Raw genomic sequence first — 27,572 nt, forward strand, 5'->3', positions numbered from 1 at the left:
TTATATATTAGTTGGGAAACTGGACTTGAATGGGACTAATAAAAATCCAGCTTAAAATGTCTCAGAAACATCTTGAGGGATAAGGGAGATTTATTTTAAGACTATTCTCTGAGCAAATTACAGTCAGTTCCTATTGGCTTGAGAGTTTGATTTTAGTTTTGCTGCTTGCAGTTTATTTTGAAACAGAATTTCTTCATGTTTCATTTTACTGTTCCATTTTTGTATTTTTCTGCTTTGTAGATCTTTTCCAAGTTGGCGGGTGGTGGGGAAGGAGGGAGTAAAGTAGGAAGATAATGAAAGGGAATAATGAAAGATAAACTATATTAATGAATATTCTTTCTCTTTGCTCCAATTTCCCCTGAAATGCAAATAAACAAACAACCTAGAATCTAACACATTCTAGGCAAACTTTGTCCATAAGGAGCCATTAACCCTTGAGATAATGAGAGTGCTTCTGAATGAAAGGCTTAGTTTGCCCTCATCGTGCAATGGTGCAGGTGAACTTGGCTGGAGGTTGGGAGCCAATTCCTGAGGTCCCTAGAGGCAAAAGTGAGCTGCCCAGGTACCTTGGAAGCTCTTTCCATGGGACCTTTTCATGTAAGGCAGCATGCCTGGCAGTTGCCTGCATGGCAAGCTGACATGCAGCTCCCAGGCAGAGCCCAGAGACACAGGGGTCTCTGGCACAGGATGCAGTCTACTGAAGCCCAGGTGTGAGGATCACTCTGACATGCAGCCACTTGAAACTCACCAGAGGTGGAAAGTGCTCACACAGAAACGCGTGGAGGTGGTGGTGGCGCTGACAGTCTGGAGGGGATAGAAATTGATCTGACAAATGCCATTTAAGGATTGGCCAATGTTTCCCCTTTGGAGATTTGGATGGCTTCACCATTTGGCTTCTTTGAGATGATGAAGAAAAAATGTGATTCACAACTGTATTCAGTGACTATCCAGTGTACCCTTATAAGTACATTGGCATGCATGCATGAAAGTTTGGCCTTTTTGTCTGAATAAAATAATGCGTTGTTATCAAAATGCTGGAAGAATAGCTGGTGACAACCACGGGGAATTTAGGTGGGGCTGCGGTGGCTGGAGAGGTGAGCCCAGGAGTGCCGCTGGCTCCTCTGCTCAGGAGTGAGTATTGGCTGCAGCCAGTAATGGGGACCTGCAGCCTAGGGCAGAGCTGCTCACTCCACCAGTGTCCACCCTCCCCAGGTGAACATAACAGGGCGCTTTGGGGCCTGGAGTAGAATCCAGTAAGTTAGAGTTTCATGGGGAAATGGATTGGGCAGTGAGGAATGTGAACCAGGGATAGTCTGTAGGACACGATCTGCTTCCATTGCTGTCCTCCATCTCTCGTGGCACCTGGGACACCTGCTTGCCTTGATGTTCCTCTGACCTGACAAAGCGCTGGGTGGTGTCAGAGTTTTGTTTGCAAAGCTCTTTCCATTCCCTAGTGTGTTTTATAATAAGTTCAGACTCCAAAGAGCTAGGGTTTGATTTTATTTTTTGTACAGTTATCCTTAAAGAACCCAATGCCAACTGTGGAAAACACTTCTATTGAACCCTATGCATATTGAGAAATGTCAGAAGGGGACCCAGGGGGTTCTTTTCATACCCAGACTGTGTCTACCCAACAGCAGCCTCCTCGGGGAAAATTCAATCCACCATCTGCAAATTTTACTAGTATTAGTTTTACATCACAGAACCACAAAACAACCTGGACTTCCAGGGTTTTCTTTTTTCTGGGTGGGGTCTGGGTCATAAATATTTGCCAAATATAATTCCAACATCCATTTGAAAAAATATTTAAAATTTGGTCAGTCATTTGAGTCGTTCTAGTATTTTGCCCATGTGTTGTCAACCCTCTGATGTTTCTGAATTTCTGAATATTTCTGTGCTGTCCTGTATCGTATGAATGATAGCTTCATTTTTCCACCTTTCCTCTGAATCCTAGTCTCTATGTCGTATATCACATTGATTCCTACCTCCAAGCTATACTGCTATTGTAGTACATCCTAACCTTTTCTGGCTGATTATCTGTTGACTTTTTGGTCCAAGATGTGGTTACACTGAGATCTGTGTTTTCTTCATTTCAGAGTCTGGGAAGTATTTGGCGGTTTCCAATGGAAAGTAAAACTTGAACTTCAAACAAAGATGAAGTAGGGAGACTTACGTAAGCATGAAGGGTTTGTTGCATTAAAGAGCAATCTTTGGTATACTTAAGAAATAACTTCAGCATTTTTGGGGTTTTATTGGACCAGTGTATTTCCAAAGCCCTTAACATTCCTTTGGGAGTTTCTTTGTAACTTAGTCTGTCCTCACTGGCTCCTTGGCATTTGCTGCAGGCTGGGTGGGCTGCTGTGAATGCTCCACTAGGAATGGCAGTCGTACCAGGTGGTATCTGCCTCAATTTCTTTCTTTTTTTTTTTTTTTTTTTTTTTGAGACAGAGTCTTGCTCTGTTGCCCAGGCTGGAGTCCAGTGGCGCAATCTTGGCTTACTGCAAGCTCCGCCTCCCGGGTTCATGCCATTCTCCTGCCTCAGCCTCTTGAGTAGCTGGGACTACAGGTGCCCGCCACCAGGCCCGGCTAATTTTTTTTTTGAATTTTTAGTAGAGACGGGGTTTCACCGTGTTAGCCAGGATGGTCTCGATCTCCTGACCTCGTGATCCACCTGCCTCGGCCTCCCAAAGTGCTGGGATTACAGGCGTGAGCCACTGCGCCCGGCCGCCTCAATTTCTTTGAGTGCGTCCAAATACACTGGCTGTGGGGGTAGCTTCAAAAATGTTAATTTTTACTTTTTTTTTTTTTTTTTTTAAGATGGAGTCTCACTCTGTCATCCAGGCTGGAGTGCAGTGGCAAAATCTCAGCTCACTGCAACCTCCGCCTCCCAGGTTCAAGCGATTATCCTGCCTCAGCCTCCAGAATAGCTGGGATTACAGGTGCCCACCACCATGCCCACCTGGCTAATTTTTGTATTTTTAGTAGAGACAGGGTTTCACCATGTTGGCCAGGCTGGTCTTGAACTCCTGATCTCAGATGATCTGCCCACCTCAGCCTCCCCAAGTGCTGGGATTATAGGTGTGAGCTGCTGCACCTGGCCAATTTTTATTTTCATAGAAGATCTTGATTAATAATGTTCTAGCCCATCGGGGTCTGACTATGGATGGCAAAAACCCAACTTGAGCTCATTTAAATTCCAGAATTCATTGGTTCTTGGAGCTATACCATGGGATAGGCAGGGGGCCAGCTGGCCTTTGGGATGCCTAGAACTAGGGCTGTAAGCATCATTGGAACTCTCTCCTCACCTCTGGTCTCTTCTCAATGTGACAGCAAGAGCTGGTCACCAGCAATGTCAGGATTCTTCCTCCACAGCCTCGTGAGTAGAAAGTACTGGCCACATCTCCAGTCCAGCTCCAGTTAGAAAAATTCCTGGGAAGTTCCCTGGGCAGTTTGGGGTCACACGTCCATTACCAGAAGAATTAGGGGAGCTTTACTGGATAGACAGAAATGATGTGTATTCTTTCCACAATACAGTGTGGATTGGCTTCCTTATAGAGATTGTGTGGAGGACTCTAAGAATTTAGGCAAGCAGGACGCTTTGGATTCACTTATTCTTACTTCAGGGAACCCTGAAGAAACGGCACCGATTTCAGTGAATGATGGCAGAGGCCACAGTTGCTGAGGGAACTCTCACCCCTCCTGGGCGTTGGAAAGACTCTTCCCTGGCTGAGGCCGAATAGTATAAGAAGTAAAGGAGGAAAGCTATTTGGACTTTAATTTCTTTCGGTTTTGAGCTATAAGACAAAGACAGCACTACTTTTGGACTTTAAATTTCCCCTGGGAATTTTGTGATGGGAGGGATTTCTGTGAAAATCTGGGTGTTTTTATATTGCTTGTATTGTGTTATGAACAGATTGTCATGCTGTTATGTCATCTCATTCCTGGGACTGTGCTGGGCTCTTCTGGATAGCATAAACTGGGCAAAATTTGGCATTGGAATAGGTCAGGACAGCAGTAAATTTTCAGCCTGGAGGTCAGCTTGACTTTGGAGTTGGCTAAAGAATGAGTTTTACCCATGTCAAAGCCTTCTGGGGTCCTGATAGGGGCGGTATTCCCATCTTTAATCCCAGGAAGATACATGGCAGGTTACTGATGAATCCAGGGCATCGCCTGAAGGTGGCGCGAGGTGGTCCTCATCCTCGCCCTGAGGGGCAGCCACAGCTTGACCATAGGTTGACCGTTGCACCCAGTGGGGTCAGGGACAACCAGCTGGGGATGTTCAGGGAGCTTCCAAGGAGAGGAACTGTGGTGCCATAGAGCACAACAGAGGACATTTCTGGCCTGTCCCCTGTCCCGCACTCCACGCTGCAGCCGAGGGTGATTGGGAGGAGTACAGCCTGGTCGGCCTTCTTTCTTTACCTGGTGGCATGAATGGATTAGAAGCCCCAGGCATGAGTGTCTCCTCTCAGGTCTGCCTTCCTACGGGAAAGTTCCATTTGGCTCCACTCCCACGTCCCTGTGGGAATTCATGGGGTGAGGTCTAGGCCGGTTGCTCTCTGTCCACAGCTGGGAAGCTGCGTGCTGAGTAGTCTGCCCTGCAGTCTCCTTCTGGGTCTTCCAGTGGTCCAGAGCTGGAGCAGGGAGACGAGGAGGTAGGAAGCACAATGGTGGCCACACGTTAGAGCCCACATTCTCCAGTTCAGCTTTGTCAGCAATAAACCTGATATTTTGCTTTCTGACTCTTTTATCTGTTTGTTCAATTTTGTTTTGAACTCAAATGTTCATCATGAGCACTTTTGTGCCCCATGCTTCAAGTTCAGGAACGGGTGCTTCATACATTTAGCCTGGGGAAATGAAACTGAAACGTAATTTGTTATTGATCAGCACACTAGAAATATATAGGCCCTTTTATTGCTTGGCCTAATGTATTCCATTTGGTATTTGTATCAGTTCGTTCTCACGCTGCTGTAAAGAACTACCTGAGACTGGGTAATTTATGAAGAAAAGAGATTTAATTGACTCACGGTTCTTCAGGCTGTACAGGAAGCAAGGCTAGGAGGCCTCAGGAAACTTACAAGCTTGGCGGAAAGCAAAGGGGAAGCAAGAACGTCTACGATGGTGGAGCAAGAGAGCGAAAGGGGAGGTGCCACATATTTTCAAATAACCATATCTTGTGAGGCTATCATGGGACAGCACTAGGGGGATAGTGCTAAACCATTAGAAACCACTCCATGATCTCATCACCCCCTACCTCCAACACTCAAGATCACAATTCAACATGAGATTTGGGTGGGGACACAGAGCCAAACCATATCACTATAAGAGATGGGTCCTAGGAATCAATGAATTGTCTAAGTACAGTGGGACCAGCAGTTTTGAGATCCAAAGATAACTCAAATCTATTATTTTAAGACTTGATTTTCAAATCAAATCAAATGGATTTTTAGTTACTTGAGTAATTTTCTCCAGGGAATACTTGGTAGAAAAATCAAAGAAGAAATAGCATTTGTTTTTCATGCAACTGTTCCATAACTCATTAACTCAGAAAATATTTGGTTTTACCTATTCAACATTTTGTTAGTGGATTTTTTGAAACCTCAGCTGTGTATTTTAACTTCATTATCTACAACGATTATGTGAGTGGTAAGCTCTGTTTCAGTGCAATCACAGAATTAAAAAATGTAAGCATGCTTATCAGTTGCTATTTTGTTTCTAAATGGTAGACTGACTGTAAATCACACTTAAAGTATTCATTTATTCACCTGATATTTATTGAATGCTGACTCTGAGCCAACACTTTTGGTGCTGTAGAACATTTGGCTAAAATCAGTGCATTTCAAAGTTAAAATGGAGCATATTCAAGGGAATTATGCCTGATAGAAGATGATTTTATTCTTTGTTTCTCCCTGGATTAGTCGTGCTTTTTTTTTGTGACAGGGTCTCACTCTGTCGCCCAGGCTAGGGTGTGGTGGTATAATGATAAACCATAGCTCACTGCATCCTGCCCTCCCAGGCTCAAGCAATGCTCCCACCTCAGCTTCCCATGTAGCTGGGACTACAGGTGCACGACACCATGTCTAGCTAATTTTTTTGTATTGTTTTTATATATAGAAATGAGGTTTCACCATCTTGCTCAGACTGGTCTCAAACTCCTGGGCTCAGGTGATCCACCTGCTTCAGCCTCCCAAAGTGCTGGGATAACCTACGTGAGCCACCACGCTCAGCCATGTCATGCTCTTATAACCACCCCTGCCCCCACCTCTAAAATCTACCATCCATTCATCTTTTTCCTTTTACCTACCTTGAGAACTTAATGAAGTAACTATATGTCATTAAAAAATTGAAACAAAACCAAGACCAAAAGCAACACTTTTAATCCAGAAAGATTCAGTTACTGTTTCAAATCACAGTTTTCTCAGCATGATTTCTTATGAATTGTGTCATTATGGCATTATTTTTACCATTGGTTCACTTTATTCACTGATTCTGAACCTTCCTTCTCTTTATTCTGAGAAATAGTGCTTGACAGAGTTCCCTTGAGAGGAAGCATGCCTATTTTCGTCCACCATGGATATGCCTGGACACTGAAGGATGATGCTGAACATCTAATTCAGGTGCTTGGACAGGTGGTGTTGTCTGAACCAAGATTTTGAATAATTGGATATTGAATTTCATTCTGAAAGTGTTCAGTTTGAAACTCATATTGGACCATATAGACAGTAAGGGAATATTGGTCTGGAATGGTTAGGCCAGAAATAGACATGCAGAAGTCAACAGTTTTGCTGGTAGTTGAAGCCTGTGTAGCATCCCACACTCCTCTCCCTGAAGGCTTCCTGGGATGCATCTCCCTACTTCTTGGAGCCCAGGACAGCTTTTTCAGAGCCTTCCGGTCTCTAGAGGGAGGGAGGGGAGGTCTGGGGGTGTGATGTGATTCCTTGGACAGATCTGTACCTGATGCCTTCAGGGGCTAGGTTGGTCTAGTTCCTCTCCAGACTTTAGCTTTCATCTTGATTCATAGACTTTCCTCACGGACCCAGATTCACAGAGTCTCTGAATTGAAATTGGACACGAGGAAGTTGTCTGGGTCAACAACTAAAGGATTTCTTCTGGGGTCAAGGTAGAGGTCACTGACTGGCCACCAGTGGACTGAGTCCAACAGCTCATGTGTGTATGTGTGTGTGTGTCCCTACATAGTGTTTTTTTTTAATGGAGTTAATCACCAATTAATACACAATTGGGAGTTTTCACACAAAAATCAGGGTTTTAGCTTCTTAGAAAAAAATCCCAGAATGTCTGACAATGTGGAGCCTGGACACCTTTTGTCTGAATTTCTTTTCGTCACCGGAACCTAAACTGAATTGTGCCTTTAGATGGAGCATATATTCTCCATAGATGTCACTTGCTGGAGGTTCATGGCCCTTGTGAGCATTTCATGGTCTTCATTACTTGTAGGCATGGTCCTTGGAGACTCCTGGATTTGATCTTGTTGGTCTTACCTCCTTTCCTTCAACCATAAACCATTTAAGTGAGCACCAAGTGTGTGGGCAGCCCTGAGTGAGAAGATGAGGTATGGTGCCCCATCTACTATGATGAACAGACCCTGCAGATATTGGTCAGGTTGGCCCAGAGACCTACCGCTGGACTCAGGCTTAGTTCTGGGCTCAGCATGTCAGCAACCCCGGGGAATCTCTGGAGGCCTGTCTGTGCAAACTGAAGACTCTTCAAGGACAGACATTGAAGAGCCATTGGAATCTTGGAATCCATCTATCTAAGAGCAGTCATGGATCCATACTTTGACCCTTGAACCAAACTGGCCTCTTTGGGCCCTCTTGGATAAGTTCTGGAGTTGGTGCTAGACCAAAGTAAGAAATCTAGGTGGGGATTGTGCCCTTATTTTTCATTCTCCGGCAAACCAATAGAGGTCATATTCCCCATGGGAGCTATGGCACAGAAGTGTCTAGCCTGGCAATTGCTGGGTATCTGAACGGCCACCAAAATATTATTTTGCCACTCAGTCCCCAGCAAAATATTCTTGAATCTGAGTAAAGTTTACTGGTATGAACTGTGGAAGTGATTTTGCTGTGTTATGAAATCTTTGGAGTCATAGCAGGCTCTTACTGGCTTTCTTCTTCTGTCTGGAGCACCTTACCATCTGTCTCCACTCAAAGACAGTCTTGAATGAGGAAGGACACAGACAGGAAATTCTTTTCATTTAACCCAATTCCCTTAGGCTACAACTTAAGCTTATTTCCTCATTTTGCATCCTGTGAATATGAAAAAGCGTCTTGTCATGGCCCTACCTGTCATGCATGGACTGTGAAGTTTCCTCCCAATGTTCCTTCTATTGGACTCTTTGATTCCTGTTGAATTGATGTTTGGGTTTGTCATTTTTCTTTAGAGACCCAGTGCATGGATAGATAGCTTTAAAGAATGTATCCTATATCATCTTCATTAGATGAGAATACTGTAAATGATTACAAAGATTCTATGATTCATTTGTCCAGCAGAGAGGATGGTCTGTTCAAGTTTCTAAGAATACTTAAAAATAAACAAGGGACTCACTTTGTCATATTTCATCTTTATGCTATCAGAGTGCTGATTCCATAACACAGAACTCAGAATGCAACCAACAGAGCCCGAAGCCACATTCACATTCCTTATAGCTTTATTTCACGTTGAAGGATTGCACTCATGAGACCTTCAAAACAATGATCGGGAATAGAACAAACTGTCATACTTCTAACCCCAAGGATAAGTTTTCAGTCAAGTAATGTAAGCTCATGCACATTGATTTCTGCTTGCCAGAATGACTGCCCCTTAGTTAGATGCTGGTTTGATGACTTCACTCAGAGCTGAGGCACTGCGGGTGAGAGGCAGGGCTGGAATGATGGGCAGGATTGCTTTTTATCTGGGTCTCCTGTTTGTCTTTTTGTCCAGTTCTCTCTGAGTTAGGCATGGACGAGTTAGGCATGAAGCATCAAAAATGACATCAATTTTAATATCAAAGTCAATGGGAATCCAGGAAATGAAAATATCTCATCAGGTCAAGCGTTTTGTTTAACAGGTCCAGTCTGTGTGTGGTGCGGTGGGTGGGAGGAGGAGGTCGCGATATTTGGCTTAAGGCATTTTGAGAACCTTAAATTCAGAGTTGATCTTATAAGGAGATTGACGGTAAGGTTGCCTGTAGGGTTTTGTTTCAGAGTCCCCAAAAGGCCTTTATGTTAAAAAGAACCTTCATTAGGTAACTCTCTAAGGCTTAAATTGTCACCATTAGAAAGTCACTCCTCTGGTTTAAAGTTTTGTCATAAGAATGCAAATTCCTGAGAGAGAACATCACTCACTTATTCCATTCCTTCCAGAAGAGAGAGGTCGATGAGGATGCGCAGCCCAAGGTGAAGTGATTGTGGTGGGTAGGGAGGAAGAGTGCTCCCAAGAGAGGAAGATGGTGGGGGAAGGTGGGGTGGAGGGTGGTGGGGTGGTAAACAGCTCTGGAGGTCTTACAATTTGTTTTAGGATAGTATGTTTCAGTGGATATGGTCATCGATCATTGATAATAAGAGACCAATTCCGAGGGAGCATGAGCTTCTGGCAGAGCTGGGCTTTGGAGTTGGGCAAAGCCATGTTTGTAGTTGGCTCCATCCCTGGTGTAGCTGTGTGACTCAGCACAGAAATTATTCTGTGCTGTGTCCAACGACAAATGCAAGGTATCGCAGAGAAGAACAATGAAAATATTTATAAATTGCTCTTTTCATGTGTCAGTAATAAAAGTAAATCATGTTCTGGCCTAGGTAGCTGTGTACTGATTGAATCACTAGTGCCTGGTAGAAAATGTGACAGTATTTAGGTTTTACAGTTCTCACATTTTAGAATGTCTATTCAAGATCTCACTTTTCTTGAGGGAGATTTGCTGTAAAGAAAAGTGCGATATGTATATTCATTCATTTATATTCTTCCTTGGGAGAAACACTCAACCATGAGCTTCCATTTGTAGTTTTCGGATATCTTGTTTTGCTTCTACACACCTTTTAGTCAGTGTGAAATGTTGGATTCCTGGGAATGATTCCTGCTGAAGTTGCTTGTAGATAAGGAAAGGTAAATGAAAATTAAAGAACAGTAACCACTATTGCTAATTTTAAATGCCTAGAAAATGATTGGTGTCTTCATAGTCTTCCCAACTCAAAATTTCCCAAAGAGCATGAGCCTACTTACCTGTGATTCCTCCCTCACAGGTTTACAGGAACCTCACCTCTGGAGTTGGGAGGGAATGCTTTGTAGATTTTTGTCCATACCCTAACATCATGCTTCTGTCTCCAGAATAGACATTCTTTCTCTAACGCTTCAAAATCCTCAAATTCATACTCTTCTTTCATCCCTTGAATTTCTCTAAGGAGTTCTTTCCCTTGCTAATCATTTTACTCCAGAGGCAATGGGCAATTTTGGGAGGAGTGATGTGTGTTAGAATTATCTATGTTTATTCTGTTCAGAATTTTCATCCAATATTAAAATCACATACTAACTCACATATGTGTCATCACTAAACATGCTCCTTTTCTTTTCTTCTTCCCTGAGACTCCAAATGCGTTTTTCTTAAAGTTACTGTTTAAAGGTTGTTGGTTTTGTTTTTAGGTTACTTTTTTCTTTCTTGCAGCATGCTTTACTCAATAGTCAGTTTCAGTTCCAGGTTTGCCCTAGATTTGTTTGACTGTTGCTTGAATATTTCACACACATTTATATTATGTTGCATTACAATATCAGTTACATAGTGAGTAGAGAGATTTTGTTTGACAAAATGTTATGTTTCACTTTAGTAATTTTGAAAATGAAGTGAATTTCTTTGGAACCTCATAAGTCAAGATAAAAAAGTGATTGTACTTGGTACTAACTTGTTTTTCTTCTGGAACACAATATGGAAACATTTAAATTAGACATATGCAGATAGAACCAGAGTTTTACTCGCCCTTTAAGCTGTTGATGATCTTGGTTTGTTTTCTTTGTGGAAATGAATGCTGCTGTTATCTCACTTAGAATACAATGGATATTTTTCTTAATCAGGACAGTTTTATGCTGTTCTCTCCGAGACGTTTAAAGATTGTCCAACTGTACCACACAACATACTAATAACTTATTTACTATATAAATGCTACTGGAGAGTATGGCAAATTACTGATTTGTTATTCTGTCACTAGCAAGACAGTGTAATCAAGCCAGACAATGCCTAAAGTTTATATTGATTTATTTCCCTTTTGGTTTAAATTTACCACCTACGGTTATCCAAAATACACGAAGGCCTGTGGGTTTGGTATATTTGTTTTGTTGTCACACTGTAATGCTGTGCAAATACATGACTATCCTTAAAGTCTTTCGGATCATACTGATTAAACGTCATTTACTGTTTTCCTAACAATATCAAAGACGATTAAAAAAATTCGTTTTCCCAATCTGTTATTGCCATGAGTTGATAGTTGCGCTGTTTACATAGTTGACCACCCACTGAAGCCAAGGCATGTGAAACTGCTGTCCACTAAAATGGGCCTGAAAGTCACGTGGGACCCACCCAAAGATGCTACCAGTAGACCTGTGGAGCATTACAACATTGCCTATGGGAAGTCACTGAAAAGTCTTAAATACATCAAGGTGAATGCGGAGACATACTCCTTCCTTATTGAGGATGTGGGTAAGTGACACTCTGATCTTGTTCCCAGTCAGAATTAACTGTGCACCAACATTCTCAGTTGCATTCTTAGGATGACTGTGAGACAACCCATGGCTGGGCTCAAGGTCCCTTACGGTTCTTTGGGAATGGAGAGCTGAGTTCTGAGATGCTTGTCGGAGGCTGCTGTTTGACAGCCGGTGTGGGACACTTGGGCTTCCCCATCCGTGCATGTGAACTCAAGTATTCCTGTTTCCAAACTGATGCAGCAGATGATTTTTAGTTTCTGAATGTGTTTTCAGAAAGTAGATTGATCCTTTTTTGCTTCATAGAAACTTCACTGCTAGACAACTGAGTGGGCTGATCTAGAGACTTCGAACTTATATGCCATTTTATAATCAGGGATTGGGCAAGTCGTATGCCCCTGGAGATGTGGAATACGTTATGCCTAGCCACGTCTGGTTAAAGATGTAACACTTTGCCCCATTTAAATTTGACTTTAACTTGATTCTGGAGGTTTGGAATATTTGAGATTTTGCCTCAATATATTTTGTCTTATTAAGTGCAGATGTAGTTGGTTTTGGGCTTAGGCTTCGAGCTGCCTCTGAATCCTCTGTCTTCTATTTTTGATTCCAGTAACCTAAAGCCCCATTGATTCTTGAACCATGTCATGGCCCAACATTAAGATGGATCATAAGGAAGGAAGAGAAGTCAGCATTTAGGAAACAGGTCTCCTCTTGTGCCACCTTAGCACTTTGATCCTTTAGTGGATCATGGGCTCCTCAGCTTTGGTCCCCTGACCACAGCTGACCACACTTACTCCTTCTCCACCTCCTGCATTTGACATCACGCTTCCTGGGTAACAGAGCAGAAAGTTTATAAAAGGGAGATGAAGGAAGACAGACTCCCTTCCTCATGGCTTCAGCTAAATGTCCATTTCCCTTAATCTCTTCCACGTCACCTTGGCTCCCCAAGTCCAGCTGTGAAGTTAAATGGAGATTCTATCAGATCAAAGGCGTGAGCAGATCATATCTCCTTGCTCAAACCTTGGGTTGTTATGATGGCTGCAGAGAAGAAAAACATGTGAAAAGAGAGTCGTAGAGCTCACTAAAAAACAAATAGTATCTCCCAGACAACTTTCTGATGAGTTAACTGTATGGGTATCAAACACATGTGGATTAAATTTCTTTGAAATACAAACAAGCTCAGAGTAAAGAGAGAAAGTGTCTGGCGAAGCATGATTTTGCATTCTGTCTGACCCCCGGGCATTTCCCCATTAGCCTGGCAGGTCGTGCCAAACCCTGAATGCCACCAGGCCCTGCCACAGTGAGACAGAAGTCACACCAGTCTTGATCACAGCAGGCATCCCAGGGGGCATCAGCCAGGCTTCTGTTCATGGGCCTCTGGCTTGAGGACTGAGTGAAGTTTTGTTATAATAATGCTCCCTACTTTGAGAAATGTCATTGTCATTATGACCTTTGACAGAACTAACCCTCACCTCTCCAGCTCTCGTCCCCTGAAATACCCACAGACTTTCGTCTCTTCAAGAAATTGGTACCCCACTTACCTGTCACAAGACAGTGATTCATTTTCAGGAAACCTAGTACTTAGTAGGGTTTTACCTTGCAGAGCTACACGTTCAGGGTGCCCTCCCCTGTAACATGGGTCTTCATTTCCTTTCCCATCCCATCAACTTTAGGAGCTCAGCCCAAGAGACCTCTGCTATTTGGCCTTGACCCCTAGATGAAAGTCAAAAAGTGAAGCCCAGTTATGTCAAGATTAGCATTTCCAAGACTCCAGGATATATATATTTTTCTAGCTTTTTGTTGGAATGGTCAAAAACAACATGCAGACATAGTAAGGGGAATATTTTATTATGAAAAGGAGAAAATTTCATGAAGCTTTATGTATTGCAGTGAAGATTTCCCATGTGCTACATTTTATGGGTTACATTGACATTTCTTATTATTTTCTGGAGATTTTCATTTGGAGCCTCTAATGGGGAAGGATTATTAGTAGTGACTGACAGTGTATGTTCAAACACCTATTTAGTGGACAAGGAGTTCCTGTTTCCTACATGGATTTCACATTAAAACCTTCAAAAGCTCTTTTTGTTGAGTGTTGATGAATCCAGGTTTATTACACATGGCATGTACCTTGTATGAAATAAAGTTTATGTTCTTTGGGTCATGTGTTTTTCAGTTGCATGAGAAGAATGTTAGTGATTTTAATTTAAAAAAAGAGAGACATCTATCATTATGCTTGTCACTGAATTTGGATTTTTGTATTTGGTTATAACTGGTATAAGGAAGATGGTTATGCATGGTTAGTGAGTGAAACTGTGTCATTCTTGGAGATCTGAATTGGTGGCTTGATATGAACCGTATGTTTCAGAGCCGGGGGTAGTGTACTTTGTGCTGCTTACTGCAGAAAACCACAGTGGAGTGAGCCGTCCTGTTTACAGAGCTGAAAGCCCACCTGGTAAGTCCTATCTAGAATCAGAGGCTGTAGTGTTGTTACTTAGATTGGGAGAGACATCCCTCCTTGCTTCTTCCAGTAAATATAAATTTAGAGTTATTAAATAATTTTTGAACAAGAACTTTTTAGACTTGTATAGCAAGCTGACAGATTGAAAAGTGGAAGAGGCTTATCCTTTCTTTTAAAATAGTTTTAATGTAGGTTATTAGCATTTCATCCAGATGTTTTGAATACTTACTGAGTAAACCATGTGTAAAAGACCTAAAATATGTATTGTCCGTAAAGCTGAGGTGTCCAGTCACTAATATGGGCTGAGCAGATCCTTTTGAAGATGGTTGAAAAGATCATTTAATTATACATTATGGATGCACTGTAATGTGGAAAACCCAACAGTCCTCGTTTCTAACTATCAAGTTGCATTTCCCTAATTTAGGAGGTGAATGGATCGAGATTGATGGTTTTCCCATTAAGGGTCCAGGACCATTTAATGAAACCGTCACAGGTACTACTTCCTCCTTCATGTCAGATTCATGTTTTCACTGAAGCATCGTCTCGCAAGAGAGTTGTGCTTCCGTCACACACATGTGCTCACAAACCTTCACTGAGTTCCCATCGCTAAACTAACACACACGCCACACAGTCTTGGTCAATCTGTTCTGCATCCAATGAACTAGACTGTAACCAGTGTTGCTTATTGTTCACCGTTCTTTCATGTTCTCGCGTGGGGAAGTGTCTGCGTCTACATCTGGGGATATTGTTGCCCTCTTCATAGGCAAATATGGTGGTTGAGATGGCAGTACTGACCAGATTAGGATATTTATAGCTCTTCTACCAGTGAATCAATGAATGGGGTCCCCCCAAAATAGTGGCTTTTATGGGCTAACATGTTGCTTCAAGTCTTGCTTTTTTCTTACAACCTTGGGATATTTTGTGATATGTTAGACGACCTACCTTCCATCTCTGCTCCATATTTGTGTATCTGTTTGTTTTCTCATTTGGATGTTGATGTTGTCTGGTCATATTGTTTTACTTACTGAGAAAAGTGTTGACATTTCTTGTGTGTTTCTTGAATATATTTAATTGATGGTGAAAAAATAATGTAAAATGAATGCAGTTATTTCAGAGTGTGGTTGGGTAATATCTCAAAAGCACTATGGTGAGGAGCTGTGTTTTATTTTCACATGCCATGTGTTTAAATATATCAATCTGGAGTTCTTGTTGACAGGAAGGTGAGTATGATGAAACCAATGATGATTATCTGCTTTTCAGACCAGATTTGATAGTGTAGGTGGTCTTCACAGTGCATGCTATATGAAAAGGGGGTGGAAGAACAAAACATCAGAAAAGAAAACTGGCTTTTGGGGAGAGACTAAGTGTTCTTGTTTGAATGACTATGAGGTGTTGCAACAGAAATGTCTTGTAGCTGATTTGAGAAGAGAGAATGGAAGTTGGAAGAGGGAAGTAAGAACGAGACATGGACTTAGGAGTCATGCTATAAGGCAAAAGTTGAAGTAGAGAGCTCATGAGTGGCTGAGGATTAGCAGAAAGAAGATCAGGAGGCCAGGAATCAAACCATGGAAATTCAGTAAAATGGTCAACAAGTTAGTACAGCTAGCAAGTGTGCAAAAGAAGAAAAGGTGTTTATTTTCAGAGGTTGTTTACCTCTGAACACACACATGTAAACAGACACGTGTGAACCTTTTACTGATGGATGTGTGTGCCTTGCATTTGAATCTTATATTTTGTGTTTTAAATAAGCGTCTTATTTTTACATCCTTCCTGATACAGTTTTTTGAATGACAATAGCTTTAGAACAAGTGATTTTCTTGCTTTTTCAGAAGTAATTAATTTCTTATGCCCTCTTTAATAGTGTGTGTGCACACATGTGTATGACCTTTCTGAGTAAGTGAGCAGAAACCCTGGGGACCAGGGATCAGACAGCCGTGTTCCAGCTCATTATTGGTTGTATGTATTGTGAGATTATTGAACTTCTATCTGCAGGAGGCTTTGCAGGCCCTGGTTGCCAAACCACTCTGCTATAATACATGATGTTTCATTTGTCATACATGGTGATTAAAAAAGATACCAGAAGAAACTGCTGGCTCAAACCACTTGAAGCATGTAATATAAAGCAGAACTTAAAACAACAACAACGACAACAACAAAAAAAACCCAGGAATATCCAGAATGCACAGACTAGGTTAAAGTACTTCACAAATTACATTTCATTGTTAATAAAAATAATAATTTATGTGAAGTTATCAGTAAGTGATCACCATGTATCTATACCTTTTGATGAGGCTTGGAAAATATGATCTGCTATTATTCCGAGAAATTGTTAAATATATGACAATCTTGCCAAACAAAAGAAGTATTCAGAATTCCCTGTCTTCATTCAAAGAGGAATTTGCCTTCAAAAATGCAGACATTAGCATGGGCACCTGGTGTAAGGCCCAAAGGGATTCACTTTAGTGCTTTGACTGATAGGGTCTCACATCCTTCCTGTGTTTTATTAGAAACCAGAGGAATATCCATTCTTTTAAGCTGCTAGAAACAATGGCTGCAGTTCTGATTCCAGAAGACCTCCTTTTGCAGGCTTACAGCTATCTCAACTGAATTGTCTTTACCTAAAAATAGGACTTTAGTTATTCAATTAATTTATTACAGGCGGAGGTCTAGGTGTTAGAGATACAAGCTAGACAAGGGATCACCTCAATGAAACTTATATTCCAATGAGAAAGAAAGATAACAAACAAATATGCACAAAATGTTGCATATAATCTATTAATTTGCTGGGGCTGCCATAACAAAATGCCACAGACTGGTGGCTTAGAAAACACAAATTTATTTCTCTTGATTATTGGGTCTAGAAGTCCAAAGTCCCGATGTTGGCAGGTTTGATTTCTCCTGAGGCCTCTATCCTTGGCTTGTAGATGGTCACCTTTTTGCTGTGTCCTTGAATGGCCTTTCTTTGTGAACATGCATCCTTGGTATCTGTGTGTCCACATTTCCTTTTTATAAGGTCACTAGTCAAATTGGATGAGGCCCCAGCCTAATGGCCTCATTTTAACTCACCTCTTTGAAGACTCTATTTCTGAATATGCTCACATGTGAGATACTGGGGTTAGGACTTCAACATATGAATTTGGCAGAGGGGGCACAATGCAGCCCATAACACATCATGAATTATTTTAAAAATAAGCAGTACTGTAATATAGAATAAGCAGATGGGAGTGACGGTTTGGGAGCCTAGGAGACACTGATAAGATGGTGGCACCAAGTTGAGATCGTAAGAGACTGTGAGGGTGAAGCCATGTGGGGAGGAGGAGGAGGACCATGCCAGAGAGTCCTGGAGTTTGGGCAAGACTTAAGCAATTCCCAGACTGGTCAGTCGTCCAAATATGAAACCTCTCAGCACTCAGGAAATGACAGGATCGAGCGAGAATGCAGCACGAGGGCAGCAGTTTTGGCTCCTCTTGTGTTGCTCATCTCACTTCTCCGAGCCGGAAAGCTTTCTTTGTACTTAATGCAGAATCCCTCTTGCTGGGATGGAAACCTGTATCCTCTTGTTCTGTCCCCAGGGAAGAGATGTCACAAGTCTGTTCATTTATTGGAATACTGTTATGGAGCTTTTCTGCAGACTTCTTTTCTGCAAGTTGTTTTGGCTTTTTTTGTGTAACAGGATCTGGGTAACCTGGCAGTGCAGAGCCAGGCCCTGGGGGTCAGGACAGGGACACAGACACATCCCCACTCTGCTACCCGCCAGCCTAGGGCCTCAGCCCAGCTAGTTAGTCAGCTTTTGTCAAACTCTTCATTTGGGAAACAGTATTAGGTTCTGGTTAAGTATAGTTCTGAATATGATCATATCTATTTAATCATTTTTAAGGTTTTTCTAAAAATCAAGTCCTCTGTGCTTTTCTCAAGTTTTGGAGCCTAAACTAGGCCTAGTACTGAAATCAAAGTCTAATTTCTGCCTCATTTTTCTTTACATTATATTTTAGTTCGCGACGCTTGCTCATTTTTTTGGACAAACGATAGCTTGGACTCAAGTTCAGCATAGAGTCCACAATTACTCCTTGGCCATTTCCAGACGATGCTGCGTGACAATCGCTTGCGGACCAGACATTTCCTTATCTTGGTCACCCACTGACTTCCGGGTTGCTCCCTAAATCCAGCAACTTCAGGCACTTGCCGCATAGTGGGTCTGTATTCCAGGCATCCATGACAATGACCCATTTGATATTCTCACCTCCTGGCTCTAACTGCCACCTCCCCTCATGGAGTTAAAGTTACAGATAGAGTTGATCCCTTCCAAAATCTAGACTCCTGGAATCCCCATCTGATCACCATCATCTCACTTCCTCAACACCCTCACGTCAGAAGCTTAATTTCAGACCATAGTAGACTTTGGACCTGTAGACCCTTCCCAGCTGTGGGGTCCAGAAGCTGCCGCTGTCCTGTTTCTTCTTTACTTTATCCAGGTCCCATCATTCCAACCACACTCCACATGCAGGTCTGCCCCCGTCATTTCAGCGGCCTCACTGCTGCAGTGCTACCTCTGCCCGTCGCTCTGCCAGGACCCCCAGCTATCTAGCTTTCTCTGTCTGCCATGCTGATGGCTGGGCTTTGTGAGACAGATGAAGAGCTGATCTGATTTGAGTTACAACAGCTTGTCAGAGCTGGTTTTCTCACTTCATCCAGGTCCTCAGTGCTGCTTGGCCACTTCCTGATTGTCCTCACACAGTTTCCTTTCTTTATGCCACAGTGGCTAGTCCAAAATGTCACCACTGTGCTCCAGCCCATTTCCTGGCCTGGGTTCCTTTCACTTCTAGTAGGTGACTTGCTTCCTGCTTCCCTGGGGGGATGAAGGTTTCAGCTGACATTGCCCCTCTCCCTTCTTCTCCCTCCTGAACCCTCACTGCTCCCTGCCCTCCTGCTGGCTCTAGGGAAGGGCTGTTGTCACCTTCTCTTTAAGGCTGACTTCATCTACATCAGTTTCTTGGAAAGCATGGTAGACCTGAGGGCAGATCTGGGGTGGGATTCATCTTTGGATCCCTCCCAGTGCCTGGTTCAGAAAGTTGATACCTACTGTTGAACTAATTATTTGATACCAAAACAATGAAACTATGAAAACATGAAAAAACAAAGTTTGGCATTGTAAAGATTTCTTATCTAGCACTCTTTTCATGGGCATAGCTACAGATTGATGGGACATGTATACCCCAGACTTGTATTTTGGCCTTTTCTGTCAGTATTTCATCAAAATGAGCACCAACTTTAAGGCATATGATCTTGCTGGTTTATTTAAATATGACTGATGTGGAAGTTGAAAACTCTAAACCTAGTGTCTTGAGATGGCTGTCTCTCCAATCTGCTGATTCAAGAGCATAATTAATCCACCAAACCATAATCTCGACACTGTTCACCTCTGAACACCTGGCTCCGGCTCCAGGTTCAGGCCCTGACTAGCTCTCAGCCATCAGCAACTCCTGTCTTCCAAATACCAGATTTCTCAGCTATGAAATGATGGGATTCAACAAGAGGCTTCTAGGTTCCTTTCTAAGAACTTTCTTAGGCTCCAAATTTCTTTCTAAGGTTCCAAGTTTCCTTTTAGTTTTGAAATGTCATGAAACTATGAGGCTGAGTGGACGGATTCCACTTTTAATGAATGATGCTAAGCTTTGTGAGCAGTAGAAAACCATTTGTCATACTGAACAAATGGCTGTTTTCCTATTTTTTTTACCCTACTTTGAATGTTTTAGGTCATTGCATTCAAAAGTCATATTAGTGAAGGAAGAAATGCTAAATTGTAATTTCTGCATTTTGAGAATGTACTTAAAACACACCAAAGGTACACAGAAGAAAGACTCATCCCCAGTGATAATGCTGGAAAGCACCTCTCCCAGGGCCCCCTTGTTGGGTGTCCTCCCCTCTGTTTGCAATGGTGGAATTCTGCTGAATGAACCAGTGGAGATGGTGATGTCAACTTATTTAAACTGACATGTGTCATTGGCACTTGGTGCAAAAGGTGCCGGCAGAGTAAACCAATAGGCAAAGCAAGGGCTCCACCAGATATTTCTGCAGCCAGGCAGTGGAGCTGCTGTGCACCAGACTCGTGCTTAACATGTACCCCAATTCAAAAGCAAGGAATTAATTATGAATCAAAGACTGCCTTCTTTCCAAGTACAATTTCAATCAAAGCCTTTGGCCAATGGGGAATTAATGCTGTCTGTGACATTACTTTCACAGTAGCTTTCTCATGCAGTTATTAGTTTTATTTAGTGTGCACTTCACAGGACAAAAGTTCATGGCCTGGAAGGTGAGCTCCTTAAGGGCAGGGTGCTTTGATTTACTCATCTTCCTATCTCCAGAGCCTGGGGCAATTGCACAGTGGGTGCTCAGGAGACATTTGTTCAGTGGAAATGCATTTGGCGGTTGCTTCTGCCCCATACCTGTGCTTGGTAGAGGAGTGGGCATTGACAAGAGTGTTGACAACAGCTGGGGCTTGGACGTTGCAGAGGTGCCTGTGAGAAGATTGGGGTCACCTCTGTCTAGTTCAATGTTGATTCGGGGGGTTCTGGGCAAGCCCGTTTGTTGAACTCAGATTGGTGCTACCATTAATCAGAGATTCTACTTCTTGTCTTTTGCTACTGTGAGGGCCTGGGCCAAAAAAAAAGATGTGTGCATCTGTAAACTGGAATTCTTTGGGCTGGCTGGTCTATGAAGATGAGGTGTTTGCACAGCCAGATCCATGGGCTGTGGGGTGGCCTGCCCACTACTCCCTCCCAAGGAAGTACTGCCCCAGAACGAGCCCTTCCATCTTAAGGGCTTGGATCTCTTCATCCGGTGCTCGTTTCAAAGCTGCCTCTCATGTTAAAATACAGCTAGACTTTGCTAGTTGTAGAGCCCATTCTTTAGGTAATAAAAATGTGGGAGACAGAGGTTTGTGTGAGAAGCTGTTTGACTCCATTTAGCCAGATGTCCCTGGGGAGAAGCAAAGGCCTCAGGAGTCCCTGCTGGCACCCCCCCACCCCAGCAGAAATGCCATGGAAGGGAGGCAGGAAGGAGCTAGCTGGCCAGAAAAGAGATTGATTGGGCACAGCCTTCTCCTACCTTTGAGGTGAAATCACAGGCATTTCACGTGAAGACACAAGCAGTGGGGGTAAGGCCCTTTCTTAGGACACCAGGATGTGTGCTTATTTCAGAGGCTGATGAGCGACTGTTCCGACTGTGAGGGGCGGGGGCTCTGGGAAGGTGGGAGATGGGTGGTCCCTGCCTGTGCCACCTTGCATGAAGCACTTGCCTTCAAGTCCTGGACTTGCCTTCCAGTCCTGGAAGAACCTACAGTAGTTTAATAAAACCTAATACTTCTGATGAGGCCAGCATCTTGGGGTTCACTTGCTGCTTTCTGATTGATATCTGGGCTTTTCTCTGGATGTCTGTGAGAAAAAGAGGGCAGGTGTGGGTCTGTGATACCTCTGAGAGGGGAAGCAGCTTTTGTGGGACCCTTGCAAATTCAGATATTAATCCTGAAAGGAAGCACTTTCCTTTTTAAACTTATCAACCTACTCATATATTGTAATTGGATCTTTCATTTGCAAGTGAAGCCAATGTGTGTGTGTGTTGGAGAACAGTTAAAAATTGAAGTAACCAATAGACGTTCAACAAAACAAGGTCTTTGATTGCCAGAAAACAACTGCATTACTTACCATTCTATTCCCAAAGGAAACAAATACAGAAGAACTTTAAACTAAAACAAACAACCCCGACAAATCAAAACTCTTTGAACTGACGTCTGGTGTTAAATTTTCCTTAGAATATTTAACACTCCTTCTCTTCGCTTAGAGGCTATGAGGCCATCTCTGTGTTATACTGTGGGGATCCAGCCATTAAGATTGGAAAAAGATTATTGCTTTCTTTGCTTTCTGTGGCCCTCATGAATCCTGTAGGGGAATGGCTGAGAACTAAAGCACCACGAGATGGATCTAGAGTAGATGCTTCTAATGACTCTATACACTCACGCCAATAACGGAGGAAACTTTCATATCCAGTCCCCCAAAGAAGCTGCCTGATCCTTCCACACTGTGTTGGTGGGGATTGGGCTGGGGATGGGGAGTGAGTGAGCTGGGCTCAGGGTAGGACTGACCCCAAGCTGCTGTTGCAGATGGCACAGCGATGTCTACATCAGAATCATAAGATGGCTGAAGAGGGCAACTGGTATTGGTCTTCTGGGTCTAGAGATAAGCTACGGCCACAGATGGGTCACAGAGACTCTAGCCTTGCCTACACAGTGGCAGGATAAGGGAAAGATTCCCCTCAAAAGGCTTATGATCTATACAAATTGAGAGCCATATCCATGCAAGCAACTGTAGAACCTCTTAATTCTTGTGGTCGTGGGAAGGGCTTCATGGCCATCCTGTGTAGAGCTCTTCATTGTCACTAATGCAGTGGATGACCACCGTCTTGGCATTCGGCAGCCCAGCACAGCCTCAGACCTGTACTGTGAAACTGACGGCACAAAGTAGTTTTTCTTGATATTCATAGCACTCCACTAGGATCAATACCAAAGTCAGCTACTGACTGACATTTTGGGTGACATCCTGAAGCCACTGCCATACCTGTGATTCTCAGGGCTTCTCAAACTGGGATCCCCAGAACTTGGGAGAATGTGACACAACTAAGATTCCATGAAGGCCTAAGGTCAATAGACCATGTCCAACAGGGAGAATTTTCCTGATGGCCAGGCATTCAAATGTTATTTTTAATTTTTTTTTTTTTTTTTTTTGAGACAGAGTCTCGCTCTTCTCGCCCAGGCTGGAGTGCAGTGGTGCAATCTTGGCTCACCGCAACCTCTGCCTCCCGGCATCAAGCGATTCTCTTGCCTCAGCCTCCTGAGTAGCTGGGATTACAGGTGCATGCCACCACGCCCAGCTAATTTTGTATTTTTATTAGAGACAGGGTTTCTCCATGTTGGTCAGGCTGGTCCCGAACTCCCGACCTCAGGAGATCTGCCTGCCTCGGCCTCCCAATGTGCTGAGATTACAGCCGTGAGCCACCATGCCCAGGCTACTTTTAATTTTTAAACAAACACCAAAATATTATGGAGTAGTCTACAAAATGTAAATGCAATTTTGAGATAAAAATGAAGATTAGGAATGAATTTCCACGCTCCAGGCTTCTGGGCTGGGGGGATTCATTCTCTCTGCTGTTAGATAGACTTTGGTGAGAAGTTGGAAGAAACCTTAGTTAAGTGACAGAGTGATTCAGCATTTCTGTGAAACAAACAACACAAACTCTTTGAAATGGAGTGGCCCCAGGATAGCTTAAAGAGTTTACTTTGCACCTGAGAGAGTCCTGATGGATTTAGGGTACCCCGCTTGGGGGCACAGATGCTGGCAGCCTTGCACCAGCATCTGACAGCAAAATCCCTTTCTTGACTCCATGTCAAGTGGCATTTCCTGGGGCTTCCTGATTTGATGACACCCAGGATGTCAGGCAGGATCCTGGAAGGCAGGAAGCCAGAGTCTCTGAAATATTGGATGCTTGCTGTGGGCAGCAGAAATCTCGAACTGAAGGTGGTGATGTTGTCTGGTTTGTCTTGAAAGTTAGTGTAAATGCTTTATAAAGGTTCTTTGGGCTTCCACGATTCATGACATTAATAATTGGCATTGATTAGCTCAGGGGAGATCAAGGTCCTTTCCCTTTCTTTTTCTTTCTCTTTTTCATCCTTTTTTTCCTGCTTTTAAGACCTCTTCTTCCAATCCCTGAAAATGCAGCAAGAGTTTACTGACTGCAGGGGTTGGCTGAGGGGTGCTCCTCTGGCATCTCTGGAGGAAGCAGTGTGTTGCTGTCCTTAGTGTGCTGGCCACATGCTTGACTCCTCATCAGGGGTCTTTCCCAGAGCACTAGACACTTACACATTTAAGAGGAATAGTGCACTGAGCAGATCTTGATGGGACAGATGGTGCTGACGCCCTCTGAAGAGCAGTCGGGTCCTTGGGAACTGTGCCAGCTTCTCTGTAAGCGGGGCACATGCACATCTTGCCAGGGCGTCCTGGTGCTGCCCACCACATCCTTCGCCAGTGTGATTTGGGAGGCACCAAGAGGACCTTCCCCTGGAGAAGGTGTGATGCTTGTGCCACACATGGCTACTGGTGACACCAACTCTGCAACCACCATGAGCTTCTCAACAAGAGCTGCTACGGAGAGAGCTAGGGCTACCGATCCGACAGATGGGGTGCGAATTCTGGCTTCGGCTTCCTGCTGTCTGGTTTTGAGATGTTCCCTTAGCCTTTCTGAGCCTCACTTCTTTGGTCAGCAGATGGGCTGTGATTGGGTGCCTTCAAGGATGGCTGCCAAGTGCCCTTTCTCCTTACTGTTAACTAGCTGGGCCTAACCAAGTATCACAGAAAACCAGTACATAGTTACAAGTACTGAGGCTGCTTATGGGAGAGAAAATATGGCATTAAAGAGGGACTTTACGTAAGTATTGCAAATATTGGGTATGTAGAAGAAGAGTACTGTAAATCAATTCAAAGGTGTTTCAGGAGGGTTATGTGTCAGAACTTGCACAGGAAGAACGAGCCTGTGGTGGATGCAGGCTCGGGTGGCGTTTGCTGGAGCTCACCAACTTTGGAGATGTCAGGCAGCACCGGGCCTGGGCATGAGCTGGGGTCAGGGAGTTCAGATGCAGAGTATGGCCAACAAAGCTGATGTCCTGCCCCCATCTGGCTATCAGCAGCCGACCTTCACTGCTCCCGGACACACATTCTCACCCCTTTCCCTGCCCTCTCTTTCTTCTTCCTCTCAGGCTTCTCACCTCTTCCTTATCAAGCTTCTTCATCAGGAGTGCACAAAAGGCCTGGTCCTGATGGAGGTGGGAGGCCAGGTGAAAACACACCCTGGCCAGGTGCTTCTGGTTCACACTGAACTTCGAGCACCATGGCTCCGGCCTAAATGGCTGGACACCCCCTGACCCCCACCCCCGGCGTGCAGATTGGTGTCCACAGTTATAATGGAGGCTGGTGCTGGGGATGGTGGGGCAGCTGCCTGGGGTAAGGTGGGTATTTGAAGGCCTGTGAGCATCAGGCCTGCTCTTTCAGGTCACGGGGATAGAGATCAGGACCATCTTTGTGAAGTTGGTGGTCAGCGCAGTGGGGTGTCAGATCGGTCAGTGGGACAAACCAGACAAATTGCGGCTCTTCAAGGCTGTAGATGGAGTGAAACCTCACATTCTGCTGGGAAGTGAGCATGTCCTGCCAGGCAAGACCTGGGCCAACAGAAAGTAGCCGCCAGACAGCTGTGGTCATGCGTTCTTTTACACCAATGAAGAGAGGGATTTCGAGTGACTGATAATTGCTAGATGTTGATGAAGATGAATAACGCTCTTCATCTGGCTATAGGCAACCTCATATTTGAAAAGATTTTCAATGTAAAGGGTCCTTGGCAATAAGCCCTCTCTTTTGCTCACATTTGGTTCTTTGAAACATTTTTTTTTTTAGTGCCCCTGTATGCAAGGCCTGGTGGTAAGCTCTGTGATACATTCACGGCTCCCATTCTGAAGGGGGTTACCCACTCAGGTAGTGAATCTAGTAAGTGAGGGATTTCATTTTTGTCAGGCCCACAAACACAACTAGTGTGCTTAATACAGCATATGTCAGGTATGGCACCGAACGCTTTACATGGTTATATTACAAAGTGCATATGCTGTGCACTATTTTACAGAAGAAACTGAAATTCAGAGAGGTCTAAGCCACATAGCCTGTAATAGATTCGATTCAGACTTTGACTTCAGAGCCTGTGACTTCAAGCCCAATTCAGAAGCTACCAAGTTTAACTAGCATAGAATGGGTAAAACATCATATTGAATTTTAGATTATTTTCTTTGTAAAAAGAAGAGATTTTGATTCTATACAACTTCAGAATATTTGCCAATTTGCAAAGCCAGTGGCACAAATCCGGAGAAATACTTGAATCCTGTCTGGTTTCTGAGGTCTACTGCAATCTGGATGGTAATTGTTTCACCCAGGGGACCTGCCAAGTGGGTGACATATCATTAGTTGCCGCAGGTCTTCTGTTATCAGCCAGTTCTGAGTGCAATTCACCTGATTACGTTGTACCAACAGCAGTTGAGGGAATGTGTCCAGCCAAGTTTGAAGTACATTCAGCGCTGGTGGATGCAAGCTCCATTACCCTTGGCAGTTGTGACTTCCTGTTTTCAAGATAAAAGACTTACACAGATTTATTAGAGAATTTCAGAAGGCTTTGGTGAGGCTATCACATACAGCCCAGAGAGAACACTTAAATAGTTTAATTGCAAATGAATTTGAACCATATGGCTAGTTTTCTTAATATGCACATCAGTTTAAAAGAGGATTACCAGATGATCTATCAAAGATGTTTGATGGTATATATAACCAGAGTATTAAAGAAAGGAAATTTTCAAAATACTTGAAAAAAATGGGGTTGGTTTTTCTAAACCCAAAGATTTGAAAGAGAGACAATTGTGTTTAGAGGGAGGACATTCTCACTTCACTCTGGTTATTACCGAGACAGCGAGCTCCATGTTGTCTAGGGAACAGTTCTTCCTGGGTGGTATTTGGTGACAGTCCTTCTCTTGTCCGTTTGCTACCTGCTGAGAATACTTTTTGTTATATGTAATGCCTACTGGGCAAAGCAGTCATGTGTTTATACCCTGAAGGGAGCCTGTTGGCTCAAATCCCTTGTTTCACATTCATTAGAAGAGGTTGGGAGGTTGGTGGGATGGCCCATGGGGTAAGGAGGAGCTTAAATGAAAGGGGCATCATGGAAAGGGGATGAAACTGGGAATCAGAATGGCTGAACTCTGCCTGGCCCTAAACAGCTATGTGACTGTCTGTCAGCTACTACTTCCCCTCTGTGAGCCACAGTTTTCTCATGGGGGTGATGAATCTATCCTACTTACCTTGGAGCTGTTCTAAGGACAGCTAGATGAACTATGTGAGAGCTTGCTGCAGAGCGAAACATTCCATAAAATAGGGGGATTGCAAGAGCCAGCCTCAGCCCTGTCCCCAAAGCTGTTCAGTGGGCCTGGTCTCATTCTAGGTTGGACAGCAAGGCCAGAGCCTGGAAGGGGGAAGCGTGTGCAATGAGCAGAAAGCTGTTGTCCCTGCTGTTGGGGTGTGTGGCTCATGTTTAGTGAACCTGGCATGGTGCAGGACAGAGCCACCGGCAGACACTGCAGGCAACAAGCTTGTGCCATCTGTGACCAGGCTCCTTGTCCTTGGAACTTCACTCCTGACTCCTCAGGGACCCCGACCCTCAGGAAATTTCAAAGACCTTTTAAAAAATTTTTATTGCAGCTTATTACGGTTGAGTGTCAGGGATTGCCGAGTCAGAATTGGTTTGTCCTGGAACAGAGAACTGCCATCCTCCCCAGGGCCCAGCAGGGACACTGTGACCCCCA

At 43.7% G+C, this 27,572-nt stretch overlaps 1 protein-coding gene across 3 annotated transcripts in view; it reads left to right on the plus strand.

Annotated features, from left to right (window-relative positions):
• The window catches only part of FNDC1 (fibronectin type III domain containing 1), a 102,709-nt gene that overhangs the window by 16,552 nt on the left and 58,585 nt on the right, over window positions 1–27,572 (plus strand). The window contains exons 2-4 of one of the 3 annotated variants that reach the window (NM_032532.3): window positions 11,480–11,674; window positions 14,045–14,131; window positions 14,562–14,630. The exons of 1 other annotated variant lie outside the window; for it this stretch is intronic. In NM_032532.3, coding sequence (NP_115921.2) covers window positions 11,480–11,674; window positions 14,045–14,131; window positions 14,562–14,630 — 351 coding nt within the window. The remainder of the gene's footprint in view (window positions 1–11,479; window positions 11,675–14,044; window positions 14,132–14,561; window positions 14,631–27,572) is intronic. One more of the 3 variants, XM_011536190.3, reaches the window with a different exon arrangement.

The sequence above is a fragment of the Homo sapiens genome, chromosome 6, assembly GCF_000001405.40.
Source record: "Homo sapiens chromosome 6, GRCh38.p14 Primary Assembly".
Lineage (NCBI taxonomy): Eukaryota > Metazoa > Chordata > Mammalia > Primates > Hominidae > Homo > Homo sapiens.